The 18,168-nt window shown below is 38.5% G+C and overlaps 1 protein-coding gene across 8 annotated transcripts in view, besides 1 other annotated feature; it reads right to left on the reverse strand.

Moving 5' to 3' along the window:
* ZMAT1 (zinc finger matrin-type 1) overlaps positions 1 to 15,239 on the reverse strand; it is a 49,738-nt gene extending 34,499 nt beyond the window's left edge. For 5 of the 8 annotated variants that reach the window (NM_001394560.1, XM_005262213.5, NM_001282401.2 and 2 more), the window contains exon 1: positions 14,929 to 15,239. In NM_001394560.1, the coding sequence (NP_001381489.1) occupies positions 14,929 to 15,220 (292 nt within the window). In that variant the 5' untranslated portion in view covers positions 15,221 to 15,239. Of the gene's footprint in view, positions 1 to 1,724; positions 1,846 to 14,677; positions 14,799 to 14,928 lie in introns of those variants that run through there. The other 3 variants (XM_017029903.2, XM_005262216.5, NM_001011657.4) reach the window with 2 other exon arrangements.
* Positions 15,018 to 15,518: an enhancer, noted in NCBI's record as "H3K27ac hESC enhancer chrX:101186779-101187279 (GRCh37/hg19 assembly coordinates)". NCBI's record gives its function as "activates a minimal SCP1, AML or CMV promoter by ChIP-STARR-seq in naive H9 embryonic stem cells {active_cell/tissue: H9 hESC(naive)}" and the evidence as "EXISTENCE:reporter gene assay evidence [ECO:0000049][PMID:30033119]".

Here is an 18,168-nt window from a genome sequence, read left to right on the forward strand (position 1 = left end):
TATACTACAGAGCTAAAGTAACCAAAACAGTGTGGTACTGGCATAAAAGCAGACACATAGACCAATGGAACAGAATAGAGAACCCAGAAACAAATCCACACACCTACAGTGACCTCATTTTTGAGAAAGGTGCCAAGGACATAATCTGGGGAAAAGATAATCTCATCAATAAACAGTGCTGGGAAAATTGGATATCCATATGCAGAAAAATGCAGCTAGACCCCTATCTCTATATACAAAATTCAAATCAAAATGCATTAAAGACTTAAATGTAAGACCTCAAACCATAAAATTACTACAAGAAAACATTGAGGAAAATCTCCAGGACACTGGTCTTGGCAAAGATTTCTTGAGCAATACCCCACAAGCACAGGCAACAACATAAAAACGGACAAATGGGATCATATCAAGTTAAAAAGCTTCTGCACAGCAAAGGATATAATCAACAAAGTGAAGAGACAATTCACAGAATGGGAGAAAATATTTTCAAACCACCCATCTGATAAAAGATTAGTAACCAGAATATAGAAGGAACTCAAAGAACTCCAATGGAAAAAAATCTAATAATCCAATCAAAACATGGGCAAATGATTTGCATAGACAGTACTCAAAACAAGACATACAAATGGCAAACATGCATATGAAAAGGTGTTCAACATAATTAATCATCAGCAAAATGCAAATCAAAGCTACACGAAATAACATCTCACCCCTGTTAAAATGGCTTATATCTAAAAGACAGGCAATAGCAAATGCTGGCAAGGATGTGGAGAAAAGGGAATCCTCATACACTGTTGGTGGGAATGTAAATTAGTACAACTACTAAGGAGACCAGTTTGGAGGTTCCTCAAAAAAATAAATTGAGCTACCATATGATTCAGCAATCTCACCGCTGGGTATTTACCCCAAAGAAAGGAAATCAGTATATCAAAGAGATATCTGCACTGCTATATTTGTTGCAGCACTGTTTACAATAACTAAAATTTGGAAGCAACCGAAGTGTCCACCAACAGATGAATGGATAAAGAAAATGTGGTACATATACACAATGGAGTACTATTCAGCCATAAAATGAATGAGATTCAGTCATTTGCAACATCATGAATGGAACTGGAGATTATGTTAAGTGAAATAAACCAGGCACAGAAAGACAAACATTGCATATTCTCACTTATTTGTGGGATCTAAAAATCAAAACAACTGAATTCATGGACATACAGATTAGAAGGATAGTTACCAGAGGCTGGGAATAGTAGTGGGGGGTTGGTGGTGAGGTAGAGATGGTTAATGGGCACAAAATAAACAGAATGAATAAGCCTAGTATTTGATAGCACAACAAGGTGCTTATTGTCAGTAATAACCATATATTTTTAAATAATGCAAACAGTAATTGGGTTGTTTGAAACTCAATGGATAAATTAGGGGATGGATACCCCATTCTTCATGATGTGCTTATTTCACACTGCATGCCTGTATCAAAACATCTCATGTATCCTACAAATATATACACCTACTATGTACCCATGAAAAGTAAAGGCCGGGCATGGTGGCTCATGCCTGTGATCCCAGCACTTTGGGAAGCCAAGGTGGGTGGATCACGAGGTCAAGAGATTGACCCATCTTGGCCAACATGGTGAAACCCCATCTCTACTAAAATACACACACACACACACACACACACACACACACACACACAAAAATTAGCTGGGCGTGGTGGTGCGCACCTGTAGTCCCAGCTATTTGGGAGGCTGAGGCAGGGGAATCGCTTGAACCCGGGAGGTGGAGGCTGCAGTGAGCCGAGATTGCGCCACTGCACTCCAGCCTGGTGACAGAGCAAGACTCCATCTCAAAAAAAAAAGTAAAAATTAAAAAGAAAGTAAATAAATATTATTTTTTGATTACAATATAACTTATTACAGAAGAACCATTTCTTTTAAGGAAACAAAAGGAAACTATTAAAGGTTCAAGAATTCCTAAAATTTAACACTTATTTCTCTCCTAGATCAACCCTTAATTCCAGACTTCTCCACTATTAACAGTCAAAGTTTGAAACTGACACTCAAGTTCATAAATATCAATGCTTTTTTTTTTAAACACACCCTTTCATGACTGGGGCTCCAGATCATTTCCATGAAGCCTATGAAAATACTAGTGCTCCTATAACTTTTCGTTTAGAATGGTGTTGCCTAGACTTACTTCCTTTGACTCATTTCCTCAAACAAGTTCTTGGTCTCTCTTTTTTTTTAATCAAATGGCATAATATTCCTAGGATTAAAATCTCAGTCATTCTTCTCCCCAGAAAATTATTGACTCATATCAATTCTAGCTTATAACATTTTTCAACATCTACCTTTTCCTTTTAATTCATAACACTACCTAGTTCAGGCCCTCAGTGTCTTGGGTATCATATAACTTTATTGTTATGTATTGAGCTTAGTTTCAAAGTATTATGGTAGATATTTTTGAGAGATAAGAAAGAACAAACATTTAATGAGGGCCTCTATATGTCAAAAATGATAGATTATCCCTTTAGACCTTAAGACAAATGTGCAAGGTAAGTGGCACATTTGTCTGAATGTTCAAAAATTTTGAAGAAAAGAAAATTAGGATTCAGTGAAATCAAAATAACTTGTCACGTCATTTGGGTTTAGCTGGAACTTAACTTTGCATTATCTTGACTCTTTTCATTATGCATACATAACGGTTCCACATGTTGGAGATGACAAACTACGTGATGCAATTCCTAATTTCATGAAATTGACAATTTAGTAAGGAAGATGAGATGTGTACCGAAAGAACTATGATCCCAAGACCAACATGGTCTAAGTGTTATAAGACACAAGAAGGTACAGTGTGCTCCTGCTGAGGAATTTGGGGGAAAAAAAGGTTTCTGGAGTAGAACTGATTTTGAACGAAACTTTAAAAGATATGTAAAATTCAAACAAAAAGAGTGGAATGAAAGTATTTCAGGGGAGGCAAGAGTATGAAGGACAATAACGGAAAGCTTAGAATAAAGCCAAGTCATGATGGGCTTCACAAGGGCATATGGACTTAACTCTGCATTCAACAGGCGGAAAGGAGTGACTTAAAGTGGGTATATCAGGGGTCAGTTTCAGGCTTCAGGATTGAACCAGAAGAAGGGTAGTGGGCACAGAATGGAAGGAAAGAATAGAAGAGGTATATCAAAACTAGAGAGTATTAAAGCTTGAGTTTAGAACTTGCTATGAATACAACAATCCTTTAGATTTATTACACTTTTTTTTTTTTTTTGAAACAAGGTCCTACCCTTTACTCGGGCTGGAGTGCAGTGGCGCAATCATGGCTCACTGCAGCCTCCCCCTCCTGGGCTAAGCGATTCTCCCACCTCAGCCTCCCATGTAGCTGGGACTACAGGCATACACCACCATGCTCAGCTAATTTTTTTATTTTTTGTAGAGACGGGGTTTCACCATGTTGCCTAGGCTGGTCTCAAACTCCTGGGCTGAAATAATCTGCCTGCCTCTGCCTCTGCCTCCCAATGTACTGGGACTACAGGTGGGAGCCACTGTGCCCAGCCTAGATCTATTACATTTAAGCTTAAGTAATGTTGTTCCTGATGCAGGAGATGGAGCTTTGACTTTACATGAAACAAATTCGTCTACAATTGTCAATGCCAAATTCTCTTTGTGGGTGTAATAAAATAAATATGTTGATGCTCTGATTTCAGTAATTGAAAATTAAAATACATGAAAATATGAAATTATAAAAGATACTGGAGTGATGATTCACATTTACAATGTACTTAAAAGGTAGACTGTGAGTTCTGCAAGGAGAAAATAATGGAAAAAAAAGAAAAATTAAAATGTACTTAAACGGATTTATCCAAATTTTTTCTAAGTAGCATGCTTTCCTAATTCAGTCAAATGGTTTATATCTACTCATATATTCAGGAACAAATCCTAATGTAAAAATAATTAATCAATCAGGGTTTTCTATCACATCCAAACACATAGCTTTTCAAAATCATACATGCTGAATTAAAATCAAAGTATCTGTGGGTGGTTCAATTCATCCATAAGTGATTCTTATGATCAGTTCGGATGGGAATCGTTGCCCTACAGGACAGGCTTAGACTCTTACAGATAACAGCTGTCCAATATCTATTTGGTGACTAAGCTGATTGATATAAAAGTCTTGCCATCTAGAATGGTACTTATCAAGCTAAATTATGCTTTAGTCTAACATGAAGAGATTTTTGAAAAAAAAAAAGGATATATAAATGTACATCTTTTTTGCACTACTTCAAATCTACTTAATTCTCCGAAGTTGAGGCTAAATAATCTGTGCTTTTAGCCTATATTTGGCCGTAATCTCTTAGTCAAACTAGTCATTTGGTTCAACCTTCCACCACGGTTGTTTTCAAGCCTAGCTGCACAGCAGAATCACCAATTAAAACATACCAGTGCCCAGGATCCACTCCAGACTAATTAGAATCTCTGAGAGCGGTTCCCAGTCATATTTTATTATTTGTTTTGTTTCTTAAAGCTTTCCAGGTGATACAACAAGGGTAAGTATAAACCTTCTTCTAAAATGACAATCCTTCAATATTTTAAGACAGCATTATTTATTTAGGACATATTTATTCTTCCCTCCCTCTCTGCCCTATTTGTGAATTAATCCCAGTATGTCATAATTTCTAATCCTTTTTTAGTGTTATTAGTTTGCCTAAATCCCTGCCACTCATAAGGTATAACCTAAACACAATCACTTTAATACTGTAATAACAACAAATAAGTAAAATGGGACCACCTTTTTCACCCTGCTATTAACTAGCTGTGTGACTAAGAACATATCACAGCCTTTCAGATTTCTGTTTCTACCTGACTTTATATGGGTTGATGGAGATCAATGAAAAAATATATTTTAGATGGGAATATATACGGAAGCAAAATTTTGGTGGGGTACTTATTTTTTTAAATTGTGGTAAAATCCATGTAAAATTTACTATCTCAACCATTTTAAGTGTACAGCTCAGTAGTATTAAGTATATTTAACTCCTTATTTTGAGTATTTATCTTCTATTAATACAGTCTACAATAGCTTCACCATTTTTTGGTGGTCATATCATACTGTTGACTCATGCTCAGCTAACTTTCGATTAAATACGTGGTTCTTTTTGATCTAGAACTGGTTAAAATATATCCCTCTAGGACATAGTTAGATAGAAATTCTATTGGATCCCAAACAGATCTAATATATACTTATATTTTTTATTTTAAGTTTCACCTTCTTAGAGTCAAACAACCATTTCCAGGCTTTCAAGATCTTTTTGGATCTTCTAGAATCTGCCACCAGGAGGCTCATGGAAGAGGGGTTTCCACTGAGAACAAATTTATAAAATGGGTGTTGTTTTCCAGAGGCTACTGTACACTGCCACATTCTCCTCAGGTTGCATTTCCTCTAAATTTGACATGAATTTGATGATGTCCACTTTCTAAAAGTCATACCTAAGACTTGGAGAGGTTAAACAGTTTGCCCAAAGTCACACAGTTGATAAGTGTCAAAGCCAGGATTCAAATCTAAGTCTGCCCAAGATTTCCCTGAGCTCACTCTTAGAAAGGCTAGGCCTTTTTTTTTTTTTCCTGAGATGGAATCTTGCTATGTCATCCAGGCTGGAGTGCAGTGGTGTGATCTTGGCTCACTGCAACCTCTGCCTCCGGGGTTCAAGTGATTCTTCTGCCTCAGCCTCCCAAGTAGCTGGACTACAGGCGTGCACCACCATGCCCGACTAATTTTTGTATTTTTAGTAGAGACGGGATTTCATTATGTTGGCCAGGCTGGTCTTAAACTTCTGACCTCAGGTGATCCGCCTGCCTTGGCCTCCCAAAGTGCTGGGATTACAGGCAAGGCTAATCTTAAAAAGAGACTTGATCTCCAGGCTTGACATATGTAAGAAACATATGTCTGATTCACAAGAGATGCTAAATGTTTCTTTCGATCCACCCGACCCCCAACCCCCACTATTTGAGACATGATTTTTGGACTCCCAGAAAAAAATGACCAATAGCCAATTCTGGAAGTCGAGAGGAAACTGGTGACAATACAGATGTCTTTCAGCCTGTTTCAGGGTGACAGCTTAGAGGAAAGGCCAGCCTCAGGGAGCAGATGTTCAATTAGAGGATAGGTGAGCAGATAATGTTGACTGTGAGGAAGATGACTGGGACAGGAACTAATGCTTACTGAGAACTCACTACCTGCCAGGAATAAAACTGTTCTGGCATAGAATTGGGACTTAGGAGCTGATTCTAGTAGAAATGGGAACCAAGGGATAGCTGAAGAAACTTGGGGGCATCTTCCTCTCTTCTCTTCTTTATACTCTCACCATGTCTTTTCTCTTCCTTAACTGATTAGAATATGAAATAAATCTATTTTTATTGGTTGGTTGTTAAGTGTGGGTTTATACTGATTCTTAATTCCAATAGTAAGAGTTGTAAAAAGCATTAGGATGAGAGAGACTGCATTAGTTTTCACCCTGCTATTAACTAGCTGTGTGACTAAGAACATATCACAGCCTTTCAGATTTCTGTTTCTACCTGACTTTATATGGGTTGATGGTGATCAATGAAAAAATATATTTTAGATTGGAATATATACGGAAGCAAAATTTTGGTGGGGTACTTACAGAGGACCCAAACACCTAGCTGCTTCCAAATACGAAGCACAGAAGATGATTTAAAGTTTTAAGCAGCTATACAGTTAACACAAACCTTTAAGGGCCTAAAAAATCAAAGGGTCCCAATATTTCTTCTCTTAATCTTCCATTATCTTTATTTTCTTGTCTATGTCCTAACCCTAAAGCTGGTTCTCTCCAAAATATCTCTTTGTAAAGATCTATGAGGCATTTCTATTACCAAGTGTAATATTTTAATAATTGCAACTAGAGTTAAAAAGAAATTTTTCTGCAAAATTAGTATTTTGGTTATGATTTAGGTACAACAGTTGAGTTTTCCCCAATGATAAATGTACAAAATTCATGGCAGATGGTCTTTTATCTTTCAATCTAATTAAGAAAGAAATTAGGAGAGCTAGGGTTAAAAATATAAACAGATTACACATTAGAATATCAAATGACAACATACTAAATATTGTGAAGTATGATTTCAAGTCTCATCTGGAAAAAATACATGTCTTTGAAAATGGTATGGTAAATACTTCCTGGTTAATTTTAGGCATATTTTTTCAATATTTCTAGCCTAGAATTTTTCAACTGTTCTTCATTCCCTGGTACATTTGAATTTTTTTATGCTACTATAAACTTGGAAAAGAGATAAGGATAGAGGAGCAAGTTTTTTTTTGTTTTTTGAGATGAAGTCTCACTCTGCTGCCCAGGCTGGAGTGCAGTGGTGAGATCTTGGCTCACTGCAACCTCTGCCTCCCGAGTTCAAGTGATTCTCCTGCCTCAGCCTCCCAAGTAGCCAGGATTACAGGCATGTACCACTGTGCCCGGCTAATTTTTGTAATTTTAGTAGAGATGGGGTTTCACCATGTTGGCCAGGCTGGTCTCGAACTCTTGACCACAGGTGATCCACTCATCTCGGCCTCCCAAAGTGCTGGGATTACAGGCGTGAGCCACCGTGCCCGGCCAAGGAGCCTACTTTAGTGAAACTTGGTATTGAGATCTTAATGACACAAAGGCATGCTCTCAAGTATGAAGTGGAATATACCATCTTTAAAATATACAGGAATTTCTGATGCTGATATCATTTATTTCCATTTTAACATGAAACAAAAGCAATGGGGAATAAGAAAGTACTATCAAAACCTAGGTTCAAAATGGGAAGATAACCTATATCTGATAATGAAGTAAGGGTTTAAAAATAATAAGATGTGGAAAAGATAAGACCAATGTTTACTAGATGGTCCCATTTATACTCAGGGTATAAGAGGGTAAAATTGCTTTGCAATGCTGTGCTTTGTGGTAATAAGAAACTATTCAAGTTGCCAACTGTTAACAAATTAAGCATGACTTTTAAATATATATTACTTTCCATAAATACATCAGAAAGTTCTTCAGAGTGGAGAAATATGGTCATATAACAAAACTATGACCTATACGTACAGAGTTTCAATTTGGGATGATGAAAAAGTTCTGGAGATGGACAGTGGTGAAGCTTGCTTGGCAATGTAAATGTAGTTAATGCCACTGAATTTCACACTTAAAATGGCAAAGTTTATGGTGTGCATATTTTACAATAAAACATAAAATAAAATATTGAAAAAAATAAAAGATAAAAGCATCTGAATCACTGCATGAAGGACAGCTGCCCTGCAGAGTCAACCTGCTGCTCAGAGGAAACTGCATGAGCAAGTGATGGTTGTTTTGCTACCATGACATAAACAATCCACTTCTGAATAACATTTATGATGGTTATTTGAAATGAAATGGTAGTTTTGTGACAAATTATAAATGGGATCTGATCAGAGAGCTCATATATTCCAGTAATGTATTTGATTACATTTAAGTGTGGCTTCAGCATTTGGTGGGAGAAATGAATAAACTCCAATTTTCTATAAATAAGAGTGTTTTACCTCTTCATTTCCCTCTTACAAGAAATGTTTTCATGACCTAAGAAAATAAATCTTTCATAATAATTTGTAATGGGGAGAAAAACTATGACCTACAGTACTGGGATGTTGGAAAAAAATAAATAAGATTCTGAGTTGGTCAAACAGATTCAAATCCCATCTTTACCCACAACTATATAGCCTTCAGCAAATTATGTAACCACTATGGACCGTTTTTTATTTCACCTAAAAGGTACAGAAATACAATGTGTAATTTTTAATTCTAGGATTTGGTGAATGTTAAATGAAATAATTTTTAAAATGTTCAACACATGTAGGCACTTGATAAAGTATGCTTGTTCACTAATCCAGAAGCTTTGCATTTTTTACTTAATATTATACATAATCATTTTATTTAGACCAGAGTTATTTTAGAGGTCATCTAGTTCATGGTTTCTGAAACTCGGCACTATTGTCACTTTGGGCTGGATAACTGATTGTGGTGAGGAGCCTGTCCTACGCATTATAGGATATTTGGCAGCATCTTTGGCCTCTGCCAATCAGATGCCGGTAGCATTCCATAGTTGTGACAACCAAAAATATCTCCAGACAACGTCAAATATCCCGTGAGGCAAAACTGCCTCCAGTTTAGAACCAATCCAATGTCCTCATTTCATAAAGGAGGAAGCTAAGGCCCAGAGAGGTAATAGGAATTAAAGAATTGAGGGAGGTAAACTGTAAAACATGATTCTAGACTCAGGTGGATTTGGTCTATCAAAAAATTCTAGTAGTCTGGGAAGAGACAATAGTAATAGAGGGATGTTCTTAAGTCAGTAAGATGCAATTAGGAGTACTAATAGCTCACATTCTATGGACTTGGGCATTACTAAAATTCCTTATGTTGATATAAAATACTCAATTCAGTTTGTACCAGAATATCTGCCTTCAATGATATAAAAAGCAAAGAGATTGACTTGACAGAAACTTACTTTTTAGCTACTTTTGTTGGATTGTGCCTACTCCAAATAGCAGCACTATTATGTGAAAGTAAAGTAACATTAACTTCTGCATTCAAAAGTGCAGCTGAGTGTGAAATCCAAATTATCATATTTGAAATTTTCTAATTAATGCTACTACATAACAACAGGCAATTTAAGATGAAATGCATTTTTATGACAAAAATAAAACATTTATGGCTTGAGTGAGAATAATGAATTTGGTCCACCCATGCTTATGGAATTGTAAACCATGCAGGATCTCTGAGGAAAGGAACCAGAAAATTACCATATTTCTTCAGTTCCGGGCAAGAGAATTCTCTGTTCATTCCAATTAAATGTTCTTTGTTAACCCCCAAGTTTAAGCTATTCAAATTAGGTGACTCTATTTTAGATATAACTGGCTATATTTAATAAAGTGAATCTCACTTGCATTTGTTAAATGACAATTAGGTTGAGTTGCACAAAACCCCAAATTTCCTCCTCAGGATAACCCGTCAGATGTTTATGGGAAAAACTTGCTATTAGATGTTTTAATGCTTTGCTGAAGTGGGAAGTTCACAGGCCAACTGATCTTGATGCAAAAACATCTAGCATTATAAAGGATTCGTTGTATACCCTATTTTAATAAAGTAACAAAAATGGAGCAAACTTCAGGACTGGCTGCAATATCATAAACATAAATCTCATTCTCAGTCACAGATTTCAAGTCAGGCATTACAAAATCTGAGAAATAATCATTTTAATTGTGCAAAGAGCACATGTGCTATATTTTCCATGATTACACTTTTAAACTCCCTCAAGCATTCTTGATTAAATAGAATTAAAAAAAACTGACTTGACCTTTGCAATCTTTTAACACCATCACAATCTTAGAAAAGAATGAGCAGAGCACAGCACTAAGTTATAGGAGACTGGGGAACTGAGTTAACCTACACAAAATGTTTTAACTCTTTTTCCCCTAAAGGTCACACTCTGTTTAAGGAATTTTCATGAATAATAGCTGTGGTAGAAATGCAGATCTGTACCTCTCAGCATGATGACCACTCACAGCTATAATGCTATCTAGTGTCCTTAGTTTTTCAGTTTATAAGACTACCACCTGACTTATGAGTTTGCCAAGTTTTAGCTACTTTACACAGTTATCACAATCAAAGAAATAATGAAGGGTTTCCCATGGCATGTTAACAATTACATATTACAACAGAATTAACAAAATAATTGGGAGTACTAGTTATATGTTTAACATTTACATTGTCTTTATTTAAACCAAGTCCTTTACCTTCATAATCATAAGCACTTTGTAGCTAGCCAGCTCAGGGTTCATGCTTGTGAAGTCAGAAACTGAATTAAGGTACTGTGTAAATCCATTAACACACCTGATCCCATGACAGCTACTTTGCATCAGAAAGCCACCAAATACATGGCATTCATTCCAACAGGTTAGTAAATGTGAATGAATCTGCAAGGCTGGTTTCAGATGAGAAAGAATCAAAGTTTTTATCCTAACTGATATGTAATAAATATAGTAGGGGGTATGCTTAAGTTAGTCTTTACAACAAGCTTAGTTAGTATTTTCACACACTGAAATCTAATAGAGAGGATCACAAACGAACAAATAATAATTTACCTCTCTCCAGATATCTCCACCTGCCAAATGCAGATAATTAAAAACTAATTCTGTAACAGTTTACTATTCTTCCGTCACACCATTAGATTTACAGTATAATTTGCTTCACTGTGCCTGTAGTATATAAAATACTATGAGCTACAGAGTACAGATTTATAATAAACAATGGAATGGTCCTGTGGCTCAGGATTCTGACTAGTAACATTTAAAACTGCATTCCTTCCCTTATTTAAATATTTTATAATTTTACTATCAAGCACTATTATTGAGTTGTTTAGTATAGCTGTGTTTAATTTGTCCGTATATCCTTAACACTAAGCATAGTGCCTGGCACACACACATAGAAGTGTTCAATAAATGATTCCTGAATACATGAAAGGTTACCCACTAGATTTTCTTTTTCTTTCTTTTTTTGTTTGAGATGGGGCATCGCTCTGTTGCCCAGACTGGAGTGCAGTGGCACTATCTCCGGTCACTGCAACCTCCCACTCCCAGGTTCAAGTGATTCTTCTGCCTCAGCCTCCTGAGCAGCTGTGACTATAGGCATGTGCCACCACGCCCGGCTAATTTTTTGTATTTTTAGTACAGACAGGGTTTCACCGTGTTAGCCAGGATGGTCTCCATCTCCTGACCTCGCGATCTGCCCGCCTCCGCCTTCCAAAGTGTTGGGATTACAGGCGTGAGCCTCCGCGCCCAGCCTACCCACTAGATTTTCTTATGGTGGTCTTACTATCATTTGACTTGAAACTTTACTGAATAATATGGAGACAAATGATAGTCTTGTTAGGGCATTGCTACACAAACGGATTAATAGCTAAATAAAAAGCCAGAAGGTCTTCCAATCTAAAACAGGATAAATTTGATATATTTTTTCTTAAAAGGAAGAGGTAAATAAGCAATTTTTTTTTTACTATGAATATATCAGAACATTATTCCTGGGTGAAAATTCATTTTTGAGCCATTAAACATTTTTGAAAAATGAAATATGAAGTGTCCTACAAAATCTCATAATTCCCTTTACTGTGAATTCTGAGTGTATATGTGTCTTTTCAGATGGCATTTCTTTTCTTTCTTTGTTCTATTTCTAGGTTTACTGCTCAATGTCCCATTTGTAATCTTTGAAAGCTTCTAATATTCCGTTTGCTAGTTTCTAATCTCCATTGACATTTGTTCATTATCCACCCCAAGACAGATGAAATCCTCAAGAATAACAGCTACAGTTCAAAATGGATCAGCAAATGCTTTTCCAAACCACTTTTAATGATCCTATAAGGAGTGGATTTGCAATAACTGAATCTTGACAATTCTTTGACATCTTTTAGGGCAATCTCTTTAACTAGGACTTAAACAAGCAAAAGATATTGGCACACCACCAAGTAACATTTTCCTTTCTTCTCCTTTATCTGCCATCATAATTGACAACCATTTATGGCATATATATATATATTCTATATATAGAGAGAGATTATATATATATATATATATATATATATATATATACACACAGAGAGAGAGAGAGAGAGAGAGAGAGAGAGACACACAAATATTTTGAGGCCTAATAGTGTTTCGAACAGTGCAATATATAAAATGTTTGCCATTTGTTAAGTGAAAAGGTGAGAGAATTTTAGTTTGGACTGAATAGTGAATGAAGGATATATAGCTAAAATGAAATGGTAAGAGAGAATTTTTAGGTTAACAATTATATTTGGTTTTTCATATGCTAGTAAATTGTCTCAACACTAACTCAACATAGATCTCATTATTCATTGAATGTCAGGTGATAACTATCAGAAAAGGTTTCTTACGATTTATGAGTTATTGTTCTAGTGCACAGCCATGGAAATGTGATGGAAAGACTATCAATCAGAACAGCAAAATCATGGTTGATACTTTCAGATCTGAAATCAACCCTCGGAGTGTGGGGAGTTTTACTCCCTTATTTCAAAAATGTCAAAACCCAAATCGAGAGGGCATGGGGCCTGTTCAGGGTCACAAAGTCCAGTGAATTAATTAGCAGGTGAACCTATGTTAACTGCATCACACTCCTATGCCAGGGTGCTCCTCATTTTACTGCCTACAGCAATAACATAAGTAAGGTATTGCTCCTACTTTATGAAATTAGCTCTCTGAAAGCCTTTAATATTTGCATATATTAAAAGATACTGCAAACAAACCAGTTGCATCTCCAGGCAAAAAGCCATATTTTTTTTTCCACGAGATACTGGTCTTAAACCTTACTGTGAACAGACGATGAGAGCCAAATTGAATTGTGATCTTGATGCCTATAAAACTGCTCTTGCCTACTAGCTGGTTATGGACATAAAGGTTGATATAAATTTTTAAAATCCAGATTTCATGTTTCCATCCATTAAGGCTGATTGAAGACACTAAATGGAGTCTTTCAAAGGTTGACTTTAGTAAGAGAGTTGATAAATAAAACATTACAGTGTACTTCTAACTTCCATATTTAATAAGTGGCATTTATGTAATGTGCCTATACAAATATTGTAAGGGATTTTTTTTCTACTTTGCCATTCCTCCAAAGTGAAAGGTGTGAAAGGTTATGGAATAGCACACAGGGATATATCATTTAAGAATGTGAAGAAGAGATTATTTTTATGCGATAATTTTAATGGAGTATCTTCCTAAGAAAAAGGAACTTACTTTCCTCTATTTTGGTGTCCACAATCTTTCACTTTGGAGGCAAGTTAGCAACATAAGGTAACACAGCAAATTCTGGAAATTAATTACGAAATTTACATGGCAAAATGCTTTACTGGGATGCTCTGCAGTGGAATGGTCTCCACCAGCTAAGAACATTTCCCAAACTGCTTTAAAACACATTTCAATGGCAAATTTTACAGTTTGCTATTAGTAGGCTGTTTACAAGTATACAGAACTTTGTGTGAATACCGCTTATATTGATACAGTCAAGAAATATCTTTTTATGTTAGGAGTAATATGTGTTGGTAGGTACAACAGAACTTATTAAAGCCAAACCACCTTAAAGATGGACCTGTAAATCTTGCTTTACTAGGTCACATCCTCAAATAGCCAAAGAAAACTCTCCAAAGTGATTCCTGAAATCTGTACTTCTGCCACACTCTCTTCCTCTCTTTCCCTAGTAGAGTCCCCTCCACCAGACCTTACCTTCCTAAAATCCGACAGATCCTACTTTAAAGCTCAAGTATACACTTGTAACCTGCCCAAATTTCTAACGCCATCTCTCTGTAAATATTCTACTTCTAGTTTCTACACTGCAGGACGTTGAACACCAAAGGGGGTTTACTCCCCCTTATTTCTTCGGTATTTCCTCTTTTATCTCCGCCCCTTTCTCCATCGGTCCCCGTTCCCTTATCCTTGACCCTCTTGGCCCACAGCACTTCTATCTTGCCTCCTCTCTCTTCCAAATCACACCTCAGCTTCCTACAGCACACTAAGGTGTCCTGGCTGGGAGAGAAATTATGTGGTATTTTTTTTTCCCTTCAAACTCCTGCCTCATGAGTACCTGCAATTCTTTTGCCTGGGGGCCCCCATCCTTTACAGGTGGGAGAGGTAGGGAAGGCCCTCTCTGCTTCAGTCCATCTTGCACACTCGGGGCTAATACGGCGGGGCGGGGCGGGGCGAGCTTGGCCTTTACTGCGCCACGGCAGGTGGGGGTGGGGCAGTGGCGAACCGCGCCCAGCCCAATCTCGGACGGGCTGAAGAGAGGCAGCGAAGGAGATGGGGCCGCCCCCGCACCCCGGGACGGGAACTCACCTTCTCTGAGGCAAGGGCGGGTGTCTACTTTAAAACTACTGCCCCCCCTCCCCGCCGCCGCCATAGTGGAGCCGCCAAAGCCGCCGCCGCCGCCGTCGCCACAGCCACCGGCAGGCGGGCAGGCAGGGGCGGAGGTGGCGGAGGAGGCAGGAACAATTACTGCCGCCGCCGCCGCCGCCGCCGCCGCTGCCGCGCAGGCGGTGTAGGAGGAGGAGGAGGCGGCAGAGACGGTAGCTTCCTGAGGGGAAGACTCCGCCGCCAGCGGGGTGACTGTGCTCGGCGCCGCCGCCATCGCAGCGAGGCGCGCGGACAATTGCACTTGCGTCTCGATTCCGTTAAGCTCCTTTAGCCCCGCCTTCCGTTAGCCCCACCCCCTTTGTTCCTCTTTTTAACGCTTCAGCTCGAGCCTCGTTCTCGCTCCTCAGTCCACCAATCGGAGAGCTTTAAGCCCGCCGGCCGTTTCCCCCTCCCCCACTGCCTTGCGTCACCCCACCTCCCTTTGGAGGGGAAGCAACGACGGCCAAGGGCAAAGGGCAAAAAGCGCGGGATGTGAAAGCACGTGGGCCTCGCACAGTGAGGCTTCTTTGGAGATCTAATCTAAAACCAATTTAAGAGGAAAAAATGTCTGGAAACTATTGATCTCACCTCCAAAATATCTCTGAAATATATCTTCACCTGGCTTTTTTTTTCTCTTTCTTTTTTTTTTTTTTTTTTTTTTTTTTTGAGGGAGAGTCTCGCCCTGTAGCCCAGGCTGGAGTGCAGTGGTGCGATCTCACTCACTGCTACCTCTGCCTCCCGGGTCCTGGTTCAAGCAATTTTGCCTCAGTGTCCCGAGTAGCTGGGATTACAGGCATGTGCCACCATGCCCAGCTAATTTTTGTATTTTTAGTAGAGATGGGGTTTCACTATGTTAGCCAGGCTAGTCTTGAATTCCTGACCTCATGATCCACCTGTCTCGGCCTCCCAAAGTGCTGGGATTACAGGCGTGAGCCACCACGCCCGGCCCCTGGCTTTCTTAAAGCACTTAGTACAGAGAATAGAACAGAAGCTTTCATTCTGACACATTGTTTCCGTGGCCTCTTAAAGGACTGCCTATCTATCGATCTGCCCATCTTAATTACAATAACTTCCTGTGAATTCAGCACCCAATAGAAGTACTAGAATATTACTGATCACTTAAATCTCATCTTGTCCCCCCAACCTCTCCTCTCAAAGAGACCAATATCCTGATTTATATTTATTATTTCTTTGCATTTTAACATATATTCTTATCACATAGATATGTGCCTAAATAGTGTTGTTTAGTTTTGATTGTTTTCAATTTTCACAAATATTTATATCTTTTTCTAGGTAGCATTCTGGGACTTGTTTCTGCTTTTTTTTCCCTCAAGCAATACTCTTACCTCAGCCTCTGGAGTAGCTGGGATTACAGGAAGGAGCCACCATGCTTGGCCTGGGACTTGTTTCTTTCACGTAACATTCTAAGATTCATCTATGTTGTTGCTTGTAGCTGTAGTTATGCACTGTCGATGCTGTAGGATATCTCACCCTTTTCCTTATTGATGGGCACACCTCCTGGTGCCTTTGTGCAAGTCTCCCTTAAGTATTCTCTCCTTTCCAGTCTTAGATCCGTTGCTGTATTTCAAGTCCTCATGATATATGGTCAGACGTATGGCATCCACCCCACTGGTCTTCTTTCCTCTGATCTCAATCCCTCCAATCTATTACCAAGTTGTTGCCAGTCGTCACTGGCTGTCCAGTGCTTATTGGACAAAGTCAAAAGACACAGTTTTGCCCTGTTAGTCTCCCCATTCACCTCTTTGACCTCATCTCTTTCCACTGTCCCCATCTCTCCCCTCTGCTTTTACTTTGATTTAGCAATCCCTAAATCTTCTTAGATTCCTGTGAAGACCGCCAGGCGCGGTGGTTCACGCCTGTAATCCCAGCACTTTGGGAGGCCGAGGCGGGTGGATCACGAGGTCAGGAGATCGAGACCATCCTGGCTAACACAATGAAACCCTGTCTCTACTAAAAATACAAAAAAATTAGCTGGGCATGGTGGGGGGCGCCTGTAGTCCCAGCTACTCAGGAGGCTGAGGCAGGAGAATGGCTTGAACCTGGGAGGCAGAGCTTGCAGTAAGTCGAGATTGTGCCACTGCACTCCAGCCTGGGCGACAAAGCGAGACTCCATCTCAAAAAAAAAAAAAGATTCCTGTGAAGACCATGTTATTTCATGATGTAATGTTACTATATATGTTCTTCTCTCTTCCTGAAACACCTTTTCCCCCACATTAGGCACTTGCCTAATGAAATCCTATACACCCTTAGAAACCCAGACAACACATCACCTCACCAAGTAACCTGTTCTGTCTCTCCTTAGAGTTAATTTCACCTTCTTCTGTGCTACATCTATATCTGGTGTGTATTTTTATTGTAATGAATTATATACTTTGTACTTCTCAAGAACCTGGGACCATTTGAGACAAAAGACAGCGTCTTATTTTCCATGACTCATGCTCCAGCCCAGTAAAGTCCTAGGACAGAAGTTGAAAGGCAGGGATCCCTAGGCCCAGGTCTCTAAGTCCCTAGATCTGGCTTATGATATGTTTTCTTCTACGTACACAATTGTTTATTCATGACCTCATCAACATTTGAAAGGGGTATTTCATGCAAAATAAAAGTCTCTTAACAACATGAAGATTTGGCAGTACTGGCTGTGCATTCCTGAATGGCTACAGTTGGCTAGAGCTGAATAACCAGTTAGAGAGACTTGGAGTTCTGGGCTTTTAAACACTTATCTTTATGTTGTTTTTTGTGGTTCAATAATTTACCCAAGATTACCTGAGTCAATGGGTAGCTTCTCTAGACTTCTACCTTGTCCTTATGTAAGTTAGATCAAATTTTACTCGTTAAGGAAATTACTGGATAGGCCAGACACAAGAAATAATCTGCTCAAGTAGCTAGTAGGACAAGGCAAGCATACAAATGGGGTGTGATTTTATTCCTTCTGATATGGAGGGATCTCTCAAAAACATTGTTTTTTGAAATATGAATCACAATCCACTTAGGTAAGAAATATTCATTCAGAATCTCTGGAGGAGTGGGCATCACTCAAGATTCAGTCAGCAAAAAAGAAACTACACTAGGTATTTCAAACAGAAAATATTTAATGTAGAATATCAGGTACTTAAAAGAATCAGAAAGGTTAAAGAAGTAAAATCCAGGAGACTTACGCAGATA

The sequence above is a fragment of the Homo sapiens genome, chromosome X, assembly GCF_000001405.40.
Source record: "Homo sapiens chromosome X, GRCh38.p14 Primary Assembly".
Taxonomy (NCBI): Eukaryota; Metazoa; Chordata; class Mammalia; order Primates; family Hominidae; genus Homo; species Homo sapiens.